Below are 14,546 nucleotides of genomic sequence, written 5' to 3' on the forward strand. Positions count from 1 at the left end.
ATGACCAATGTAATCCGAAAAAGTCTGCTTAGCTTTTCTGAAACTAGAAACCCAAGACAAGTCAACACCAGCTGAAAATCAAACAAAAACAGTCTGTTTTTCATGCTTTCCCATCCTTGTCCCTGAATGGAGATCTTAAAACTGAAACCAAAGCCAGGTGAGGTGGCTCACGCCTGTAATCCCAGCACTTTGGGAGGCCGAGGTGGGCGGATCACCTGAGGTCGGGAGTTCAAGACCATCCTGACCCACATACAGAAACCCCATCTCTACTAAAAATACAAAATTAGTCAGGCTTGGTGGCGCATGCCTATAATCCCAGCTACTTGGGAAGGCTGAGGCAGGAGAATCGCTTGAACCTGGGAGGCGGAGGATGCGGTGAGCGGAGATCACGCCATTGGACTCCAGCCTGGGCAACAAGAGCAAAACTCTGTCTCAAAAAAAAAAAAAAACTGAAACCGAGCTATTGCTGAGTATCTCGGGTAGCCGGTTTAGACTGTGTTTTCTCCAAAATAGGGCCTGTGGATCCAAGTAAGCTCGAGATTCTTCCTGAAGAAGCAGAGAACAGAAGTGTGAGCAAAAACAAGGGGCTGACATGCACATAAGAACCCTTTATAAATTATCTTAGAAGGGGCCAGGCGCGGTGGCTCACGCCTGTAATCCCAACACTTTGGTAGGCCAAAGTGGGCAGATCACCTGAGGTCAGGAGTTCCAGGCCAGCCTGGTCAACATGGTGAAACCCTGTCTCTACTAAAAATACAAAAATTAGCCGGATGTGGTGGCGCATGCCTGTTATCCCAGCTACTCAGGCGGCTGAGGCAGGAAAACTGCTTGAACCCGGGAGGCGGAGGTTGCAGTGAGCCAAGATAGCGCCACTGCACTCCAGCCTGGGCTACAGTGCGAGACTCCGTCTCAAAAAAAAAAAATTATCTTAGAGGACGGTGGTCACCCCTGTAGTCCCAACACCTTGGAAGGCTGAGGCAGGTGGATCGCTTGAGGCCAAGAATTCAACACCTGCTGGGCAATATAGTGACACCCCATCTCTACAAAAAATATATATATATATATCTTATAGATGGGCTGAGAAAAATCCCCAGAGAACTGACATGTTTTTCTCTACTTTCTTCAATGCCAAGCTGAAAGTTTCACTGCTCGGGCAGTGCAGCTCTGGTTTCACGGGGGCTAAATTCCAAAGTGCGGGGCGGGGGTAGAATCTAAGAACCACACCCAAGAGAAAGACCAGTGTTTGGGCAGCAAGGCATCAACCTGGAGGGTACGGACGCCGGAGCACGCGGCTACTCAGGCCGAACCCCGACCCGGACCCGGCACGCGGCCTCGGCGAGGGCGGGCGGGAGTGTCCTCCTCCGGGACAGCCGGACTCCCGCCGACTTCTGGGCGGCGGGGAGGGCTCCAGGCCCGGCTCTCCCGGGCCCCCGCACGCGATGCGCGGCCCCTGCAGCTGCTCCGTGCCCCGAGACGCGCCCGAGGCCTCGGACCTCCAAGCGGCCACCGCGCCGCCAGTCCCGCTGCCCAGGGACACCCCGGCCCCAGCTCCCCGCGCGCCCACCCCCTCGGTCCCACGCGCGTCAGCCACCCGCGCCCCCCGCCGCTTCCGGGTCCCGCCCGCCCGGCCTACCGCGGCCTAGCCCGCCCCGGAGCCCGGCCCTACTCACCCGCGCGCGGTGGTGGCGGGACCCCGGGCCCGGCTCCCGGAGCGGCGCGGCGCGGTCCGGGCCCATGCGCTCAGCGGCAGCGCGGCGGGCGGGACCCGGCGGGGGCGCGGCCCGGGGCGGCCCCCATCTCGGCGGCTGCGGCTCGGCGGCCCGGAGGCGGACGCGGGGCAGGCCGCGGGGGCGCCGCAGGGGCCCAGCCGCCAGCTCCCACCCGCCCGCTCCGCGTGGACGCGGCTCCGGGCCGACTCCGGCCGGCTCTGGCGGCGGCAGCGGCCACGATCGCCTCCCGAGCCAGAGCCCGAGCCAGAGCGCCGAAGCCCAGGCCCGAGCGCCCCCGCCGGCGGCGTCCGGAAGTGCGGGGGCGGGGCCGGGGCGCGGGGACGAGGTGAGAGCGCGGGGCGGGGCCTCAACACGGGGCGGGGCCGGCAGCGCGGGGACGAGGTAAAGGGTGTGGGGCGGGGCTTCAGGCGCGGGGCGGGGCTGAAAGCGCGAGGATAAAGTGAGGAGCGTGGGGCGGGGCCGACAGCGAGGGGACAGGTGAGGAGCGCGGGGCGGGGCCGGGGCGTGGGCGGGGCCGGAAGCGAGAAGACGAGGTGAAGAGCTCGGGGCGGGGCCTCGGGCGTGGGGCGGGGACCAGGGAGTAAGGCGGGGCCCGCCTCGAGCAGAAGAGGTAAAGAGCGTGGGGCGGGGCCTCCGGCGCGGGGCGGGGCCGGAAGCGAGAAGACGAGTTGAGAAACATGGGCCGGGGTCTCTGCATGGCCGGGAGAGGGCGTGGTCAGTGCCTGCCGGGGGCGGGGCGTGCCGGGGGCGCGGTCGCGCCGTCTTCCCGAGGGGCGGTGCGGAAGCGGAGCCCGGGAGGCTTTGGCTTCCCAGAGAGCGGAGTGGGAGAGGCGGCGTTGCAGGTCCTTGGAATGGCCGCGGCCGTGGGGAGCACTGGGCGGACTGCGCGCCCCGAAGGGCGCACGTGGGGCGCAGCCCTTTTCTGCCGCCAGTACATCGGAGGGCAGTCAGGGGGCTGCAGGCCTCGGGGCTCCCTGCCCAGCCGGCCCTGGAGAGGAGGCCCTCGTGGGGACCGCCACGGCCTGCCCGCCGCCGTGAGGGAAGCAGGCTCCCAGGAGTGGGGTGGTCGGCAGGCAGGGATGGCCAGGGCCCTTGGAAGGTGGGGTGGGCTCCACCCTCCTGAGTCCCAAGGCAGCCTGGACTCACAGCGCCAGGGAACACGTTAGGCCCCAATATATGGTGGCTCTCACCCGGACAGGAGCCACAACCTCCAAAGAGCCCACCGGCTAGGACCCTCTGCCTTGATTTCTCCCAGGCACCATCTAGTATCAGAGAAGGGTTCTCCTTCCCTCCGCTGCCCAGGCCAGCCCGAGAGCAAGGCCATTGGAGTGTCCAGACCCCTGCACCCCTTCCCCTGGGCTGTCTCCACAGCGGCCCTGCCAAGGGGTCCAGTCCGATCCTGCCACCCTGGCTGCCCAGATCCGTGTCACTTGCCCTGCAGGCCACAGAGCATGAGGTCACAGCCCCAGGCACCCCACGGCAGAGAGGCACGGGCCCCCAGCAGCAGCCCCAGCACCAGCTCTGGCCAGCCCAACCCTGTCAGAACCAACCCTCTGCTCTCCACCCAGGCCTCAGCCAACCATCAGGCCCTCCCCAAGGAGGAGGATGTGAGTACCAGGATCTGCCGCCTCCCACAACAGCCCAGGGCCCTGTCCTTCCCAGAGCACTATTGGGCCTGGCACCTCCCGGGATGCTCCAGGCAGCCCCCTGGGGTCAGCTATACCCCCGTTTCACAGAGGAGACAGCTGCAGTTCAGGCCACACAGGACCAGCTCGCCTCCTGTTGGGTGAGGGCTCCCCACCTCGTCCGCCCCACACCTGAGACAACAGCCCTCATCTATCTGCCCTCTGCTTTAGGCCTCCCAGGGCTCCCTGCTGCCCACAGCCCTTCAGGGCCCTTCCTAAGGGCGCCTCCCCCACACCTTCCCCTAGATGCGTCTGGCCACTTGCCCGCCTCCGTGCTTCCGTGTCCATCATGTCCATACCTGCCAGCTCCCTCCAGGCACCTCTCACGTCACCCCCATGTCTTTCCCTGGGCTGTGTCACCCTGGATGCCCAGCCTCACCCTTCAGAGCTCCCAGGCAAGCACAGAAGTCCCAGCTCCAGGCTCCCCGAGCTTCCAGCCTACCCCCAACCAGATGCCCACAGGTGGGACTGCATGGGGAACCATGTGTGGAAGCCTCCCAGCCCTCGCCCCTGCCAGCACTCAGCATGGTGTCTGATGCCAGCATCGCTGTGTGGGAAAGGGGGTAGCATGGGACAAGGGCCACTAGGCTGTCCCCAGCCTGCCAAGGGCCCAGGCCCACCTCCCAGGGCCATCACTGTGCTCAGAGCAGGTGGGCAGGGGCTGGGGATATGAACGAAGCTGCACTGTTAGACCAACACCTGGCCCCGCTGGGTCCTGGCCGCAGGCACCCTGCCAGGTCCCACAGTGCTGGACACTGGGGCCTCCCCGCAAGCCCCCTAGCCCATTCAGCCTCAGAACCTTAGAGGAGACAGAGTGGGTGGCCTCCATGGTAAAGCACAGTTTCCAGGGATGAGGGAGTCCTGGGTGGCCAGACAGACAGCAGGACCTCAGACACTGGCCCCTGGGCTGCCCCCCGACTCCCAACAAGGTCCCCAATGCTTGCCTTGGTTCTGCAGAGCTGCTGCTGTGTCCGGGCCAGGCTCTCGGGGCTGTGTCCACGTCCATCCTCCTCTTGGCCCTCGGTGGCAGGTGTCCCCAGGCCCTGGGACCAGAACAAGGCCCTTGGGCCTCCAGCTCCTCGGGGCCCCTGCCCTGCAGGGACAGGAAGGGGGTCAGAAAGCCTGGAGGAAATGCAGCAGCCCTTCTAAAGTAGGTTGTGGTGTGGGTGTGGAGGGGAGATTCTCTGAGCCTAGTGGGGGTAGGAGGAGACCAGAGGCAGGCCAGGCAGAAGAGAGGTAGAGGAAGGCCCTGAGGAGGGGCAGGGAGGCGCGCGGGGGCCTGTGGTGTGCAGGGTGAGGTTCAGCCACCTCCCTTCCTCACAGAGCTCCTTGAAGAGGCAAACGCCCTTTGCTTCGAGCGTGAGTTTGCCACGAAGGCTTTTATTTGATTGACCGTAGATGACATTTAATCAGGTTTTGTTTCTAGGCACCAAATGAGACACTTAAGAGCAGACATGGAATTATTTTCTTCAATGTAGACATAAAAGGTATGTTTTTTTGTTTGTTGGTTTTTGGAGACGGAGTTTCATTCTGTTGCCCAGGCTGGAGCCCAGTGGCGTGATTTTGGCTCACTGCAGCCTCCACCTACCATGCTCAAGTGATCTTCCCACCTCAGCCTCCCGAGTAACTGGGATTACAGGCGTGTGCCACCACACCCCACTAATTGTTTGTATTTTTGCTAGAGACAGGGTTTCATCATGTTGCCCAGGCCGGTCTCTAACTCCTGAGCTCAAGGGATCCACCTGCGTTGGCCTCCCGAAGTGCTGGGATTACGGGCCCAAGCCACCATGCCCAGCCTAAAAGGAATACCTTGAAAATAAAGTGGCTGGCCCGGAGCGGTGGCTCACGCCTGTAATCCCAGCACTTTGGGAGGCCGATGCAGGTGGATCACGAAGTAAGGAGTTCGAGACCAGCCTGACCAACATGGTGAAACCCCATCTCTACTAAAAATAGAAAAATTAGCCAGGCGTGGTGGCGCACACCTGTAGTCCCAGCTACTCAGGAGGCTGAGGCAGGATAATTGCTTGAACCTGGGAGGCAGAGGTTGCAGTGAGCTGAGATCGCCCCATTGCACTCCAGCCTGGGTGACAGAGCGAGACTCTGTCTCAAAAAAATAAAAATAAAGAAAAGGCCAGGCACGGTGGCTCACACCCGTAGTCCTAGCAGTTCGGGAGGCCAAGGCCAGAGGATCACTTAAGCTTAGGAGTTCAAGACCAGTCTGGGCAACATAGTGAGACCTTGTCTCTACTAAACAATTTTTAAAAACTAGCTGGGCGTGGTGTTGCGCACCTATGGTCTCAGCTACTCGGGAGCGCGAGGCAGGTGGATCACTTGAACCCAGCGGTTGGAGGCTTTAGTGAGCTGTGATTGAGCCACTACACGTCAGCCTGGGCAACAGAGTAAGACCGTGTCTCCAAGAAATAAAAATTAAGAAAATAATAAAGTGAGTTTTGATGCCTTAAGTGTGTTTATCCATTTAACTGAGGAAGACCACTTATAAAAAATGACCCAAAGGAAACCCTGGAAGACACCCCAAGGACATTAGCTGGGGAGTGTTTGCCGCTGTACGATGTGTGATGGAGACAGCCAGCTGCAGAGATGGACACTGTGCAGCCACCGACCCTGCATCAGTGTAAGGGGAGCGGGGGAAGAGGACGGACGGTTCTGATCCAGGGTTCTGGAGGCTGAGGGAAGCCTTGGGTTCAGCCTCTTCCAGTCTGCCCCTTCTCTGCCCCCTCCGCTCAGTCCATAGGTGTGAGAGGTGGGAGTGGGCAGGCAGGGGAGGCCGCTGGAGGGGAGGGAGGCCCCTCGAGGGGGAGGGAGGCCTTGGACCATCCCGTTCAGGCGAGGGAGGACTGCACTTTCCATCGCAGGCAGAGCCCCCACCACCCTCCACCGCCTTCCAGGCTGTAAGGCGAGCCCCAGCTCTCATCCCTGAGCCTTCTTTTTCCATCAGTTCTGAGCCCACAGGAGAGGCCAGATGCTGCCTGTGCCCCCATCCCAAGCCCGACAGAGAACAAGGAGCTACAACACCCCAGAGACATGCCGCCAGGCCACGCACACAGGGCACCACTTTTCCTGAAAATAGAAAATGTGGGCGGGGCGCAGTGGCTCACACCTGTAATCCCAGCACTTTGGGAGGCTGAGGCGGGAGGATCACTTGAAGTCAGCGGTTTAAGATTAGCCTGGGCAACAATGCAAGACCCTTTCCCTATAGAAGCATTGTTTTTAATTAGCCAGGCATGGTGGCGTGCACCTGTGGTCCCAGGTACACGGAGACAAGAGGATGGCTTGAGCCCGAGTGGTCAAGGCTGCAGTGAGCTGAGATGGTGCCACTCCACTCCAGTCTGGGTGAGAGAAAGACCTGACACTGGGCCAGGCGTGGTGGCTCACGCCTGTAATCCCAGCACTTTGGGAGGTCAAGGCAGGCAGATCGCCTGAGGCTGGGAGTTCGAGACCAGCCTGACCAACATGGAGAAACCCCATCTCTACTAAAAATACAAAATTAGCCAGGCGTGGTGGCGCATGCCCGTAATCCCAGCTACTTGGGACACTGAGGCAGGAGAATCGCTTGAACCCGGGAGGCGGACGTTGCAGTGAGCTGAGATCGCGCCACAGCACTCCAGCCTGGGCGACAGAGCGAGACTCTATCTCAAAAAAAAAAAAAGGGCAAGAAGACTCAAAACAGTCCACGTGTTATTAGTGGAAGCAGAAGCATGAAGTTCCATTTTCTTCTTTGCATGTTCAGGAATGTCTACAGGGATGTAACAGTTATGGTCCCGTGGAACGGTCTGTGTAAGTTAACCCACTGAAGGAGACGGGCATCACGGCTGAGGCCCTGAGGGGTGGAACTGACCACTGGGCAGTGTGTGTCCAGCAGGGTGATGGTCACGGCTGATGGCAGCCACATCGCCCCACGGTGGCCTGGGGCCTGGCATGGAGGTTCTGCCACCTTCCTGAGAGACACACCCTGCCAGGGGCTTCCTGGGCCATCCCAGCTGTTGGTGTCACTTTGGGCTGGGGCCTCCCCGGCCTCCACATCTGGCAGCCCCCTTAGCACTGATGTGCCCCTAGATAGGTCCTTCCTCCTCTCCCCCTCACACCTGTCGGGCAGGTGTGTCATCCAACTATGTTGCAACACGCTTCCTATTTGGAGTGGTCCACATAGCTCTGTAGCCAAAGCTGCCTCCGCAGGGCAGATGCCCCAGGAGTGATCCTGGTCCCCACAAAAGGCAGAGGCCTGGGGGAAGGGGAGCAGGGCCCTACCTCATATGCCCTGGCTCCAATATCAGGTCAGTGTGACTGTCACCATGGCCATGGATGACCTGACGGCCTCTGCCCCCGGGACCCACCATTGGCTGGGCACCTGTGGTCAGGAGGACCCACCCACAGAGAGGTGGAGGGTGAACCACTCAGCCGCTGCGGGGCAGGGGCCCAAAGAAACGGGTGCTGTGTGTGGCCAGGCTCGGTGGCTCACACCTGTAATCCCAGCACTTTGGGAGGCTGAGGCGGGTGGATCACCTGAGGTCAAGAGTTCGAGACCAGCCTGGCCAACATGGTGAAACCCCGTCTCTACTAAAAATACAAAAATTAGGCCAGGCACAGTGGTTCACGCCTGTAATTTTAGCACTTTGGGAGGCCAAGGTGGGCGTATCACCTCAGGTCAGGAGCTCGAGACCAGCCTGGCCAACGTGGTGAAACCCCATCTCTACTAAAAATGCAAAAAATTAGCCAGGTATGGTGGCAGGCCCCTGTAATCTCGGCTACTGGGGAGGTTGGGGCAGGAGAATCACTTGAACCCAGGAGACAGAGGTTGCAGTGAGCCAAGATTGTGCCAAGGCACTCCAGCCTGGGCAACAGAGTGAGACTCCATCTCAAAAAAAAAAAAAAAAAAGAAAAAGAAATGAAACGGCTGCTGTGGCCACAGTGCTTGGTCCCCGCTGGCTCCGGGTCCATACTTGTCCCCTGGGGCAGGCCCCAGACCTGCCGTCACCCACGTCGCCTGCGCCCAGCCCCGTCCAGCAGACCTGACAGTCCCCACATCCCCGCTGGCCTCCAGGGGTCAAGGGTCAGGACGCCAAGGCCAACAGGAAAGCACTGGCAACAGGGCGGGGGCCTGGCCAGCCAGGCGGCCCAGAGGCGGTCCCCTCCATCCCAGGGTACTGTCCACACCTCCCAGTGTCCTGAGGGGAGTCCTCCTGCACTGCCTTTCTGAAGAGTTCTGACCCCAGGGTGTCCAGGGGCTGGGACTGGGGCCAGGTGGATACCAGGATGTGGTCAAGTAGGCCTGCCTGGAGGGTCCGGCCGCAGGGGCTGGGGAAGTAGGAGGGGAGGGCGGCCACCACTTCCCAACTCGGGAGCTGCTGACATCAGGGGACTGTTGGGCCTGGCCTGGCACCTGCCTCCCAGGAGACCTGAGTGCCCATCCTTGTCTTGGGCCAGCCTGTAGCCCTAGGCAAAGCAGGCACCTCCTTGTGCCAGTGTCCCCCTGGGCAAAGTGATCGTCCTGACCTGGCCTCACAGCCCCAGAGGTCCGTGTGTGACCCTCTCTGACAGGCCGGGTGGCGGGATGGAGCCCACGGCTGGCCATGGACCAGGTCTGGTGTCCCAGGCACATTGTGAGCACAGGGCAGGGCCTGCTGGCCTCCCCCAACCTCAGTGCTGTTTTCCCAAAAAGAGGTGGCATCCAAGTGCAGGGGCCATGCCCCGAGGGGCCTCGCGCTGACTTCGGGAAGTAGCAGGTGACGTCCCACCTCCCTGGGCAGCCTCAGGCCGCTTCCTGTCCTTGTTGGGGGGACTCCTGCCCCTGCCACACCGACCACAGTCCTTGTCCCTGCTGTTCCCTCACCTGAACGCCCTTCCCTGCCCTGACGGCCTCCATCCCACACGCCTCTCCGGGCGCTGCCGCCCCCCCGTTGGTGCTCATCTGTCCTTCTGCCCACTATCCCCAGCGGCCCCGATACCTGCACACCCCAGTGCCCAGCGGTTCCCCCTCGAGCTGGCAAGGGGACATTAAATGGGAGGTGAGGAAGTGCGGCCCCCAGCGGGCAGCTGCCTTTGCCCCGGCCCACCTGCGCCCCCGCCCACCTGTGCCCTCCGCCGCCTCCCTCTGCTTGGCTGTCCCAAGATGTCTCTCTCCACTGCCTAGGAACCCTGAGGCCGCGGCCAAGTTCTGAGCGTGTGACTGTGTGTGCTGGGCCCCAGGCCCCTTTGTCGCCGCGGCGTCTGTCGTGGCAAACAAAAGTGAACCGGATTAGCCACAGTGGATTAAAAGATTTACGTCTCAGAGTTTACCTAATAACCTAACAATCGTGTCAACGGGAGCTTTGAACCCCCAGGGCGCGCCTGCCAGGCCAACTGAGAGCTCAAGGCCTCTGTGGGCAGCAGGACGTGGTCGGGGGGAGGAGACGCAGCCACGGCTGTCCTCACACCCAGCTCGGCCCCTGCGGGCTCCTCTGGGCAGAACCTGGGGAAGGCACGGCCTCTAGCAGGAGGTGGAGGCCTTTGAAAGGGTGCAGGTGTTGGGACCAGGTACCCGGCCCAGGCCCCCAGCCGCGTCCACACACGTCGCACACGGCAGCAAGGACGCAAGCAGTGTGGAGGTGGCCGCGTCGGCGACGTATGGGCCCCGTGGTGCTGCGGTGCACGACCTCTGTGCTGTCACCCCACAGTGTCCGCTCCTGCACGTACACGCGTGCACGCGCACACACGTGCACACGCACACACACACAAGCACGCCCCGCTTTGATCTCTAAAGGAGAGTCCATTGACAAGCTCTTAATCGCAGCTGCCCTTGCAGGGCCTGTCCCTGAAGTCCCGAGTAATGGGATTTGGCGCTTCTGATCCATCGGGCTGGCCGCTTCCCGTGTCATAGGTGGACATTTTTTTTCTTTATATCGCTTCTGTTTCTTTTTTTTTTTTCTCCTCGAAAAAATGCTGCTTAAACGGCACCGACTTGACATGGCTTGTCTCCTAACCTTGGAGTGGCGGCCGGGACGCCGGCCTGGATCAGTCGGGGGTCTTTGATGCCGCCTCCATGTGAAACCTGACGTGGAAGACCCACCGGGGCGGTTTTGGGGTCCGAGGTCCGTCAGGATTCATCCTGCCTCACCCTGCTCCCTTTGTCTCTTCCCCTGACCCTTCCTCGGGACACCCGGAGAGGGTCTGAGGGTGAGGGTGCGGGCGCTGCGTGTGGGCTTGCACTCGAGGGTGGGGTGGGCCGAGGGCAGGGCCGCAGCCGCGAGAACAATGGGCAGAGGAGGCGCGTCCACCTGTCCGCCCGGCCGCCTGCCCGGCTTACCTCACCTGCCTGGCTCCGTGTGCCTGCTCACGCCCCACCGTCCCGCTGTCCGCCATGATGGGCTTGGCCGTCCGTCCGAGCACTTTCAGCCACTCTGGGAAGCAGGTCCCTGCTCTTGGCCACTGTGTGGCTGGGAGGCAGAAGCGTGACTCTGGGCTGCAGCTCGGGCTCCTGCCGCCGATTGGCTGAGGCAGGGACCAGATGACGGGCCTCAGAACCCTATGGTAGCCATGGCAACCAGCCCCTTTAGACACCGCCACCCCCGAGCCACTCCTGACTGCTGAGGGAGCAGGCGGCACTGCCCGTGGGCCCATGCCAGGGTCCCCTTGGAGGAACGAGGTGGGCATGGCTGCATGGTAGCTGTCCCCACAACAGCTGTTAAGCGTTTCCGTGTGTTTCATTCATGTCCAGTGTGTGGGGTCCTTGCCCCTCTCCTGGCCTGTCCGGGGCCACTCTGTGCCCTGCCTTACCCCCAGCAGAGGCAGAAGCACTGGCCTTGCAGCCCCTGCTGAGAGGAGGACTTCAGGTCAGGCTTGCCTCAGGGGCTGAAGGCCAGGCCCAGTCTGGTGGGAAAATAAAGGGTGGGAGCAGTGGAAGCGGGAGCAGGGAGAACTTCCCAGCCCCACTGGGCAGAGCCAAGCTCTCGCCCACCTCAGACGGCAAAGGCTGCCAGCTTTCTCTCCGCCCACAGTCCACTCCGCCACCCTCTCGTTAGCTGCGGCCTGTGGAATACGTGCACGTGCTCACACAGTCCCGTCTCACAAGCCCCCTGAGGCCCCTCCCGAGGCCTTGCTCCCTGGACCTTGGGTTCCCACTGGGCAGGACTCTGGGTCTTTGGCCACACTGAGGAGACCGTCTCGCCATCAGTCACACACCTGCGGCTGCACCCGCTCTCCCCTGGGCTGCAGTGCCCTCTTGCGTCCCAAGAACGCCTCTTCCCTCCAGGGCGCACCAGCATTGGCCCCTGGCAAAGCTTTCCCGTATGTCTGGAGACGAGGCTTCTCAACCGTCACCCGTGGACATCCTGGGCACTGCAGGGCACTGAGCATCCCCGGAACCACCCCCTGCCCCCAGCCCCGTGACAGCCAGAAACAGTGTTGGCTTGTCCACGCGCTCTGACAGCAGCACTGCCTGGCCAAGACCCCTTCGAAGGCTTCCCCTAAGCCCGGGAAGCTGAGTCCCACTTCCTGGCCCAGGCCCAGCACCCGATGAGCAGAATCTGGTGATGAACAGCTGCAGGACTGCAAGGAGCAAGCGAGAGCCTTGGGCTGCTGCAGCCCAGGGAGGCCACTACCAAGGCCATCAGAGGGACCCGGGATCCAGGGGAGCCTGGAGCATGGTCCATGGGGATCCACCTTCAAGAGAGCGACTTCGGGGCCAGTCCCAGGGAACCGGGCTTGGCATGGGCCTGGGCGCCGGGGGTCTCGGGCCGCGGCTGCTCCCCCAGGACTCTGGGCGCCGGGGGTCTCGGGCCGCGGCTGCTCCCCCAGGACTCTGGGCGCCGGGGGTCTCGGGCCGCGGCTGCTCCCCCAGGACTCTGGGCGCCGGGGGTCTCGGGCCGCGGCTGCTCCCCCAGGACTCTGGGTCCGGATCCAAGCTTCTTCGCACTGGCCTGGTTGTGAGCCGCCTGTCCCAGGATGGAACCCGGCCTTGAAGCCCTTCCCATGCCATGCTCAGAGCTACCAGCTTGTCTGGGGACAGGATGTGGGTAGGGACACCATCCCAGGACAGCAGGCAGTGGTTAGGGAGGATGGTCCAAGGCTGGAGCCCGCCTAGGGAGGGCTGCGGGGCGCTGCGGCAGAGGGAGCCAGGACCGCACGGGAGCCCAGGCTGCTGGGTGTGGCCATGTGGCCAGGGTTCCAGCTTGGGTGGCTGGTGGGTGTCAGAGGGACAGGGACTCAAGGGAGCCTGGGAGCCCCACACAATCCAGCCCGTGCCTGGGGCCAGCAGAGGGCTGGAGTTACAGACGGGCACTGGTGAGAGGGCGAGGGCGGCCAAGGACTGAAGGTGGAGGCGGAGCCCTAAGCAGGCCCGCGGGACACACAGTGGTCTCCCGGCAGCTCCCTTGGGCTCCCAGCACCCTGACGGGGGCACAGGACAGGAGCAGAGTTGCCAAGCGACCCAGAGGGCCCGCCCGCTCTCCATGCCCTTCCCTCCACTATCCTGCTGCTCTGTGCACCTGAGCAGGACTCAGGAAGCAGGCGAGACCCTTGGGGTCAGGGGTCAGACATGGACTTGTGACTGGGTGCCTCAGGCCAGCCTCACATCCACTCCACCCTACCCTTCCTGGCCTTGGCTTCCCCGTCTCTATGTGGAGTGATGGGGTCACTGACACCCCTTCCAGTCCTCCAGTTTTCTACCCCCAAGGGATCCCTGCCCATAGCCGTGAGGGTCCACCCCGGAGTCCACCCTCAGGTCCACAGCCCATTCTCTGCCCGACACCGCGGCTGACTGTTGTCATGGAAACACATGGCCTCTGCCAAGCCTGGGACACGCGTGGGGAACTCCTGGCCCCTGAGGGCTCCGAGAGGCTGGGGCTGGTGCAGGCCGGCCCAGGGCAGCTCTGCCTCCTGTGGGGTTGATCTTGCTCTGCACAGATCCCTCTCCCACTCCAGGTGCCTGAGGGTCTGCACGCCTCAGTGAGGGAGAACTGGCCGTTCTCAGAGACGGAGTCCAACACTTCAGGAAGGAGCCTGACAGGTGTGATTGGTGAGGATGGCAGAAGGAGGGTCTGGTGGCCCCAGCCCGGCCTGGCTCTGGAAGGGGTGGGGTGGGCATAGGGAGGGCAGGGAAGGGGTGGGGTGGGCGCGGGGAGGGCGGGGTGGGCGTGGGGAGGGCGGGGAGGGCGGGGAGGGGTGGCCAGCAGCCATTCCCAGGTTGGCTGCCCGGGCTCCCAGCTCAGTTCTCAGTTCCCCACACACATGTTGGAGCCGGTACAGTCCCTGGGACCCCTCCCCACAACCCAGAAGGCAGAATAGCATGCTGGATCCAGCTGCTGGGTCTGTCCCAGACCTGAGTCACGGTTTGGTCTTGAGGGATGGGTCCGGCATTTACGGAAGGCCTCTTACCTTTTTCTCAGTCAAGGACTTTTGTGGCCTCTGACCAGAAAGTTGTCAGGGCCCTGGCCACACCCAGACCCCACCTCAGTCTGGCCTGGCCTCCCCTGCGGGAGGACTAAACAGCCATGGGTTCCATCGAGGTGACTGGCAGAGGAGGTAACCTGCTGAGGCCAAATGCAGCTTCTCCCACTGGCCAGCTGGTAGCCTGGTCCCAAACCCACAACCCTGAGTCAACACAAGTCAGGACACACTGATAAGCACGTGCCACCATGGCCGACAGGGGGACCGAGGCCAGCGCCTACCAGCCCATTGCCAAGCCTGGCCCCTAACTTCTTGGGGCCCCCAGAGTCTGACCCAGGAAGCCCTACAGGCCTTGGCAGGAGCCCTGCTTACCGTGGGGCTTGGTTGGGGTGGGAAAGAGCAGGTGGTGAGTGAGGGGCAGCCACCGAGGCCTGAGTTGGGAGGTGCTGGACACACACACCATCAGGGAGTCAGGGGCAGGCCGAGGGGCTGGAGGGGGCTTGGCTTAAGTTCACAGCTGAACACGGGAACTGTGCAGGGCAGGGCGTGGCCACAACATCCCAACTCTGGCTAGAGCTGGGGCACGGAACAGCACTCATGCTGTGGGCAGCTGGGCTGAGCCTCATGGCCCCACAGAGCTGACTGAGCACTGTCTGTTTTTCATAAAGTGTTTTTTTTTTGAGACAGAGTTTTGCTCTTGTTGCCCAGGTGGAGTGCAATGGTGCAATCGTGGCTCACTGCAACCTCCACC

At 62.4% G+C, this 14,546-nt stretch overlaps 1 protein-coding gene across 8 annotated transcripts in view, besides 11 other annotated features; it reads right to left on the reverse strand.

Moving 5' to 3' along the window:
- The window catches only part of AXIN1 (axin 1), a 65,284-nt gene extending 63,259 nt beyond the window's left edge, over positions 1-2,025 (reverse strand). For all 8 annotated transcript variants that reach the window (NR_134879.2, XR_001751996.2, NM_181050.3 and 5 more), the window contains exon 1: positions 1,671-2,025. Coding sequence is in view for 4 of the 8 variants with exons in the window: in XM_011522683.3 (XP_011520985.1) it covers positions 1,671-1,736 (66 nt within the window). In the remaining 4 variants the exon portion in view is untranslated. The remainder of the gene's footprint in view (positions 1-1,670) is intronic.
- Positions 1,244-1,303: a silencer, noted in NCBI's record as "silent region_6907". NCBI's record gives its function as "represses an Ori minimal core promoter by ATAC-STARR-seq in GM12878 lymphoblastoid cells {active_cell/tissue: GM12878}" and the evidence as "EXISTENCE:reporter gene assay evidence [ECO:0000049][PMID:35858748]".
- Positions 1,314-1,383: a silencer, noted in NCBI's record as "silent region_6908". NCBI's record gives its function as "represses an Ori minimal core promoter by ATAC-STARR-seq in GM12878 lymphoblastoid cells {active_cell/tissue: GM12878}" and the evidence as "EXISTENCE:reporter gene assay evidence [ECO:0000049][PMID:35858748]".
- Positions 1,404-1,453: a silencer, noted in NCBI's record as "silent region_6909". NCBI's record gives its function as "represses an Ori minimal core promoter by ATAC-STARR-seq in GM12878 lymphoblastoid cells {active_cell/tissue: GM12878}" and the evidence as "EXISTENCE:reporter gene assay evidence [ECO:0000049][PMID:35858748]".
- Positions 1,734-1,813: a silencer, noted in NCBI's record as "silent region_6910". NCBI's record gives its function as "represses an Ori minimal core promoter by ATAC-STARR-seq in GM12878 lymphoblastoid cells {active_cell/tissue: GM12878}" and the evidence as "EXISTENCE:reporter gene assay evidence [ECO:0000049][PMID:35858748]".
- Positions 1,914-2,393: a silencer, noted in NCBI's record as "silent region_6911". NCBI's record gives its function as "represses an Ori minimal core promoter by ATAC-STARR-seq in GM12878 lymphoblastoid cells {active_cell/tissue: GM12878}" and the evidence as "EXISTENCE:reporter gene assay evidence [ECO:0000049][PMID:35858748]".
- Positions 2,434-2,693: a silencer, noted in NCBI's record as "silent region_6912". NCBI's record gives its function as "represses an Ori minimal core promoter by ATAC-STARR-seq in GM12878 lymphoblastoid cells {active_cell/tissue: GM12878}" and the evidence as "EXISTENCE:reporter gene assay evidence [ECO:0000049][PMID:35858748]".
- Positions 10,176-11,024: an enhancer, noted in NCBI's record as "H3K4me1 hESC enhancer chr16:410874-411722 (GRCh37/hg19 assembly coordinates)". NCBI's record gives its function as "activates a minimal SCP1, AML or CMV promoter by ChIP-STARR-seq in naive H9 embryonic stem cells {active_cell/tissue: H9 hESC(naive)}" and the evidence as "EXISTENCE:reporter gene assay evidence [ECO:0000049][PMID:30033119]".
- Positions 11,025-11,872: an enhancer, noted in NCBI's record as "H3K4me1 hESC enhancer chr16:411723-412570 (GRCh37/hg19 assembly coordinates)". NCBI's record gives its function as "activates a minimal SCP1, AML or CMV promoter by ChIP-STARR-seq in naive H9 embryonic stem cells {active_cell/tissue: H9 hESC(naive)}" and the evidence as "EXISTENCE:reporter gene assay evidence [ECO:0000049][PMID:30033119]".
- Positions 12,501-13,008: an enhancer, noted in NCBI's record as "H3K4me1 hESC enhancer chr16:413199-413706 (GRCh37/hg19 assembly coordinates)". NCBI's record gives its function as "activates a minimal SCP1, AML or CMV promoter by ChIP-STARR-seq in primed H9 embryonic stem cells {active_cell/tissue: H9 hESC(primed)}" and the evidence as "EXISTENCE:reporter gene assay evidence [ECO:0000049][PMID:30033119]".
- Positions 13,009-13,515: an enhancer, noted in NCBI's record as "H3K4me1 hESC enhancer chr16:413707-414213 (GRCh37/hg19 assembly coordinates)". NCBI's record gives its function as "activates a minimal SCP1, AML or CMV promoter by ChIP-STARR-seq in primed H9 embryonic stem cells {active_cell/tissue: H9 hESC(primed)}" and the evidence as "EXISTENCE:reporter gene assay evidence [ECO:0000049][PMID:30033119]".
- Positions 13,516-14,022: an enhancer, noted in NCBI's record as "H3K4me1 hESC enhancer chr16:414214-414720 (GRCh37/hg19 assembly coordinates)". NCBI's record gives its function as "activates a minimal SCP1, AML or CMV promoter by ChIP-STARR-seq in naive H9 embryonic stem cells {active_cell/tissue: H9 hESC(naive)}" and the evidence as "EXISTENCE:reporter gene assay evidence [ECO:0000049][PMID:30033119]".

The sequence above is a fragment of the Homo sapiens genome, chromosome 16 (genome assembly GCF_000001405.40).
Source record: "Homo sapiens chromosome 16, GRCh38.p14 Primary Assembly".
NCBI classification, from domain to species: Eukaryota; Metazoa; Chordata; class Mammalia; order Primates; family Hominidae; genus Homo; species Homo sapiens.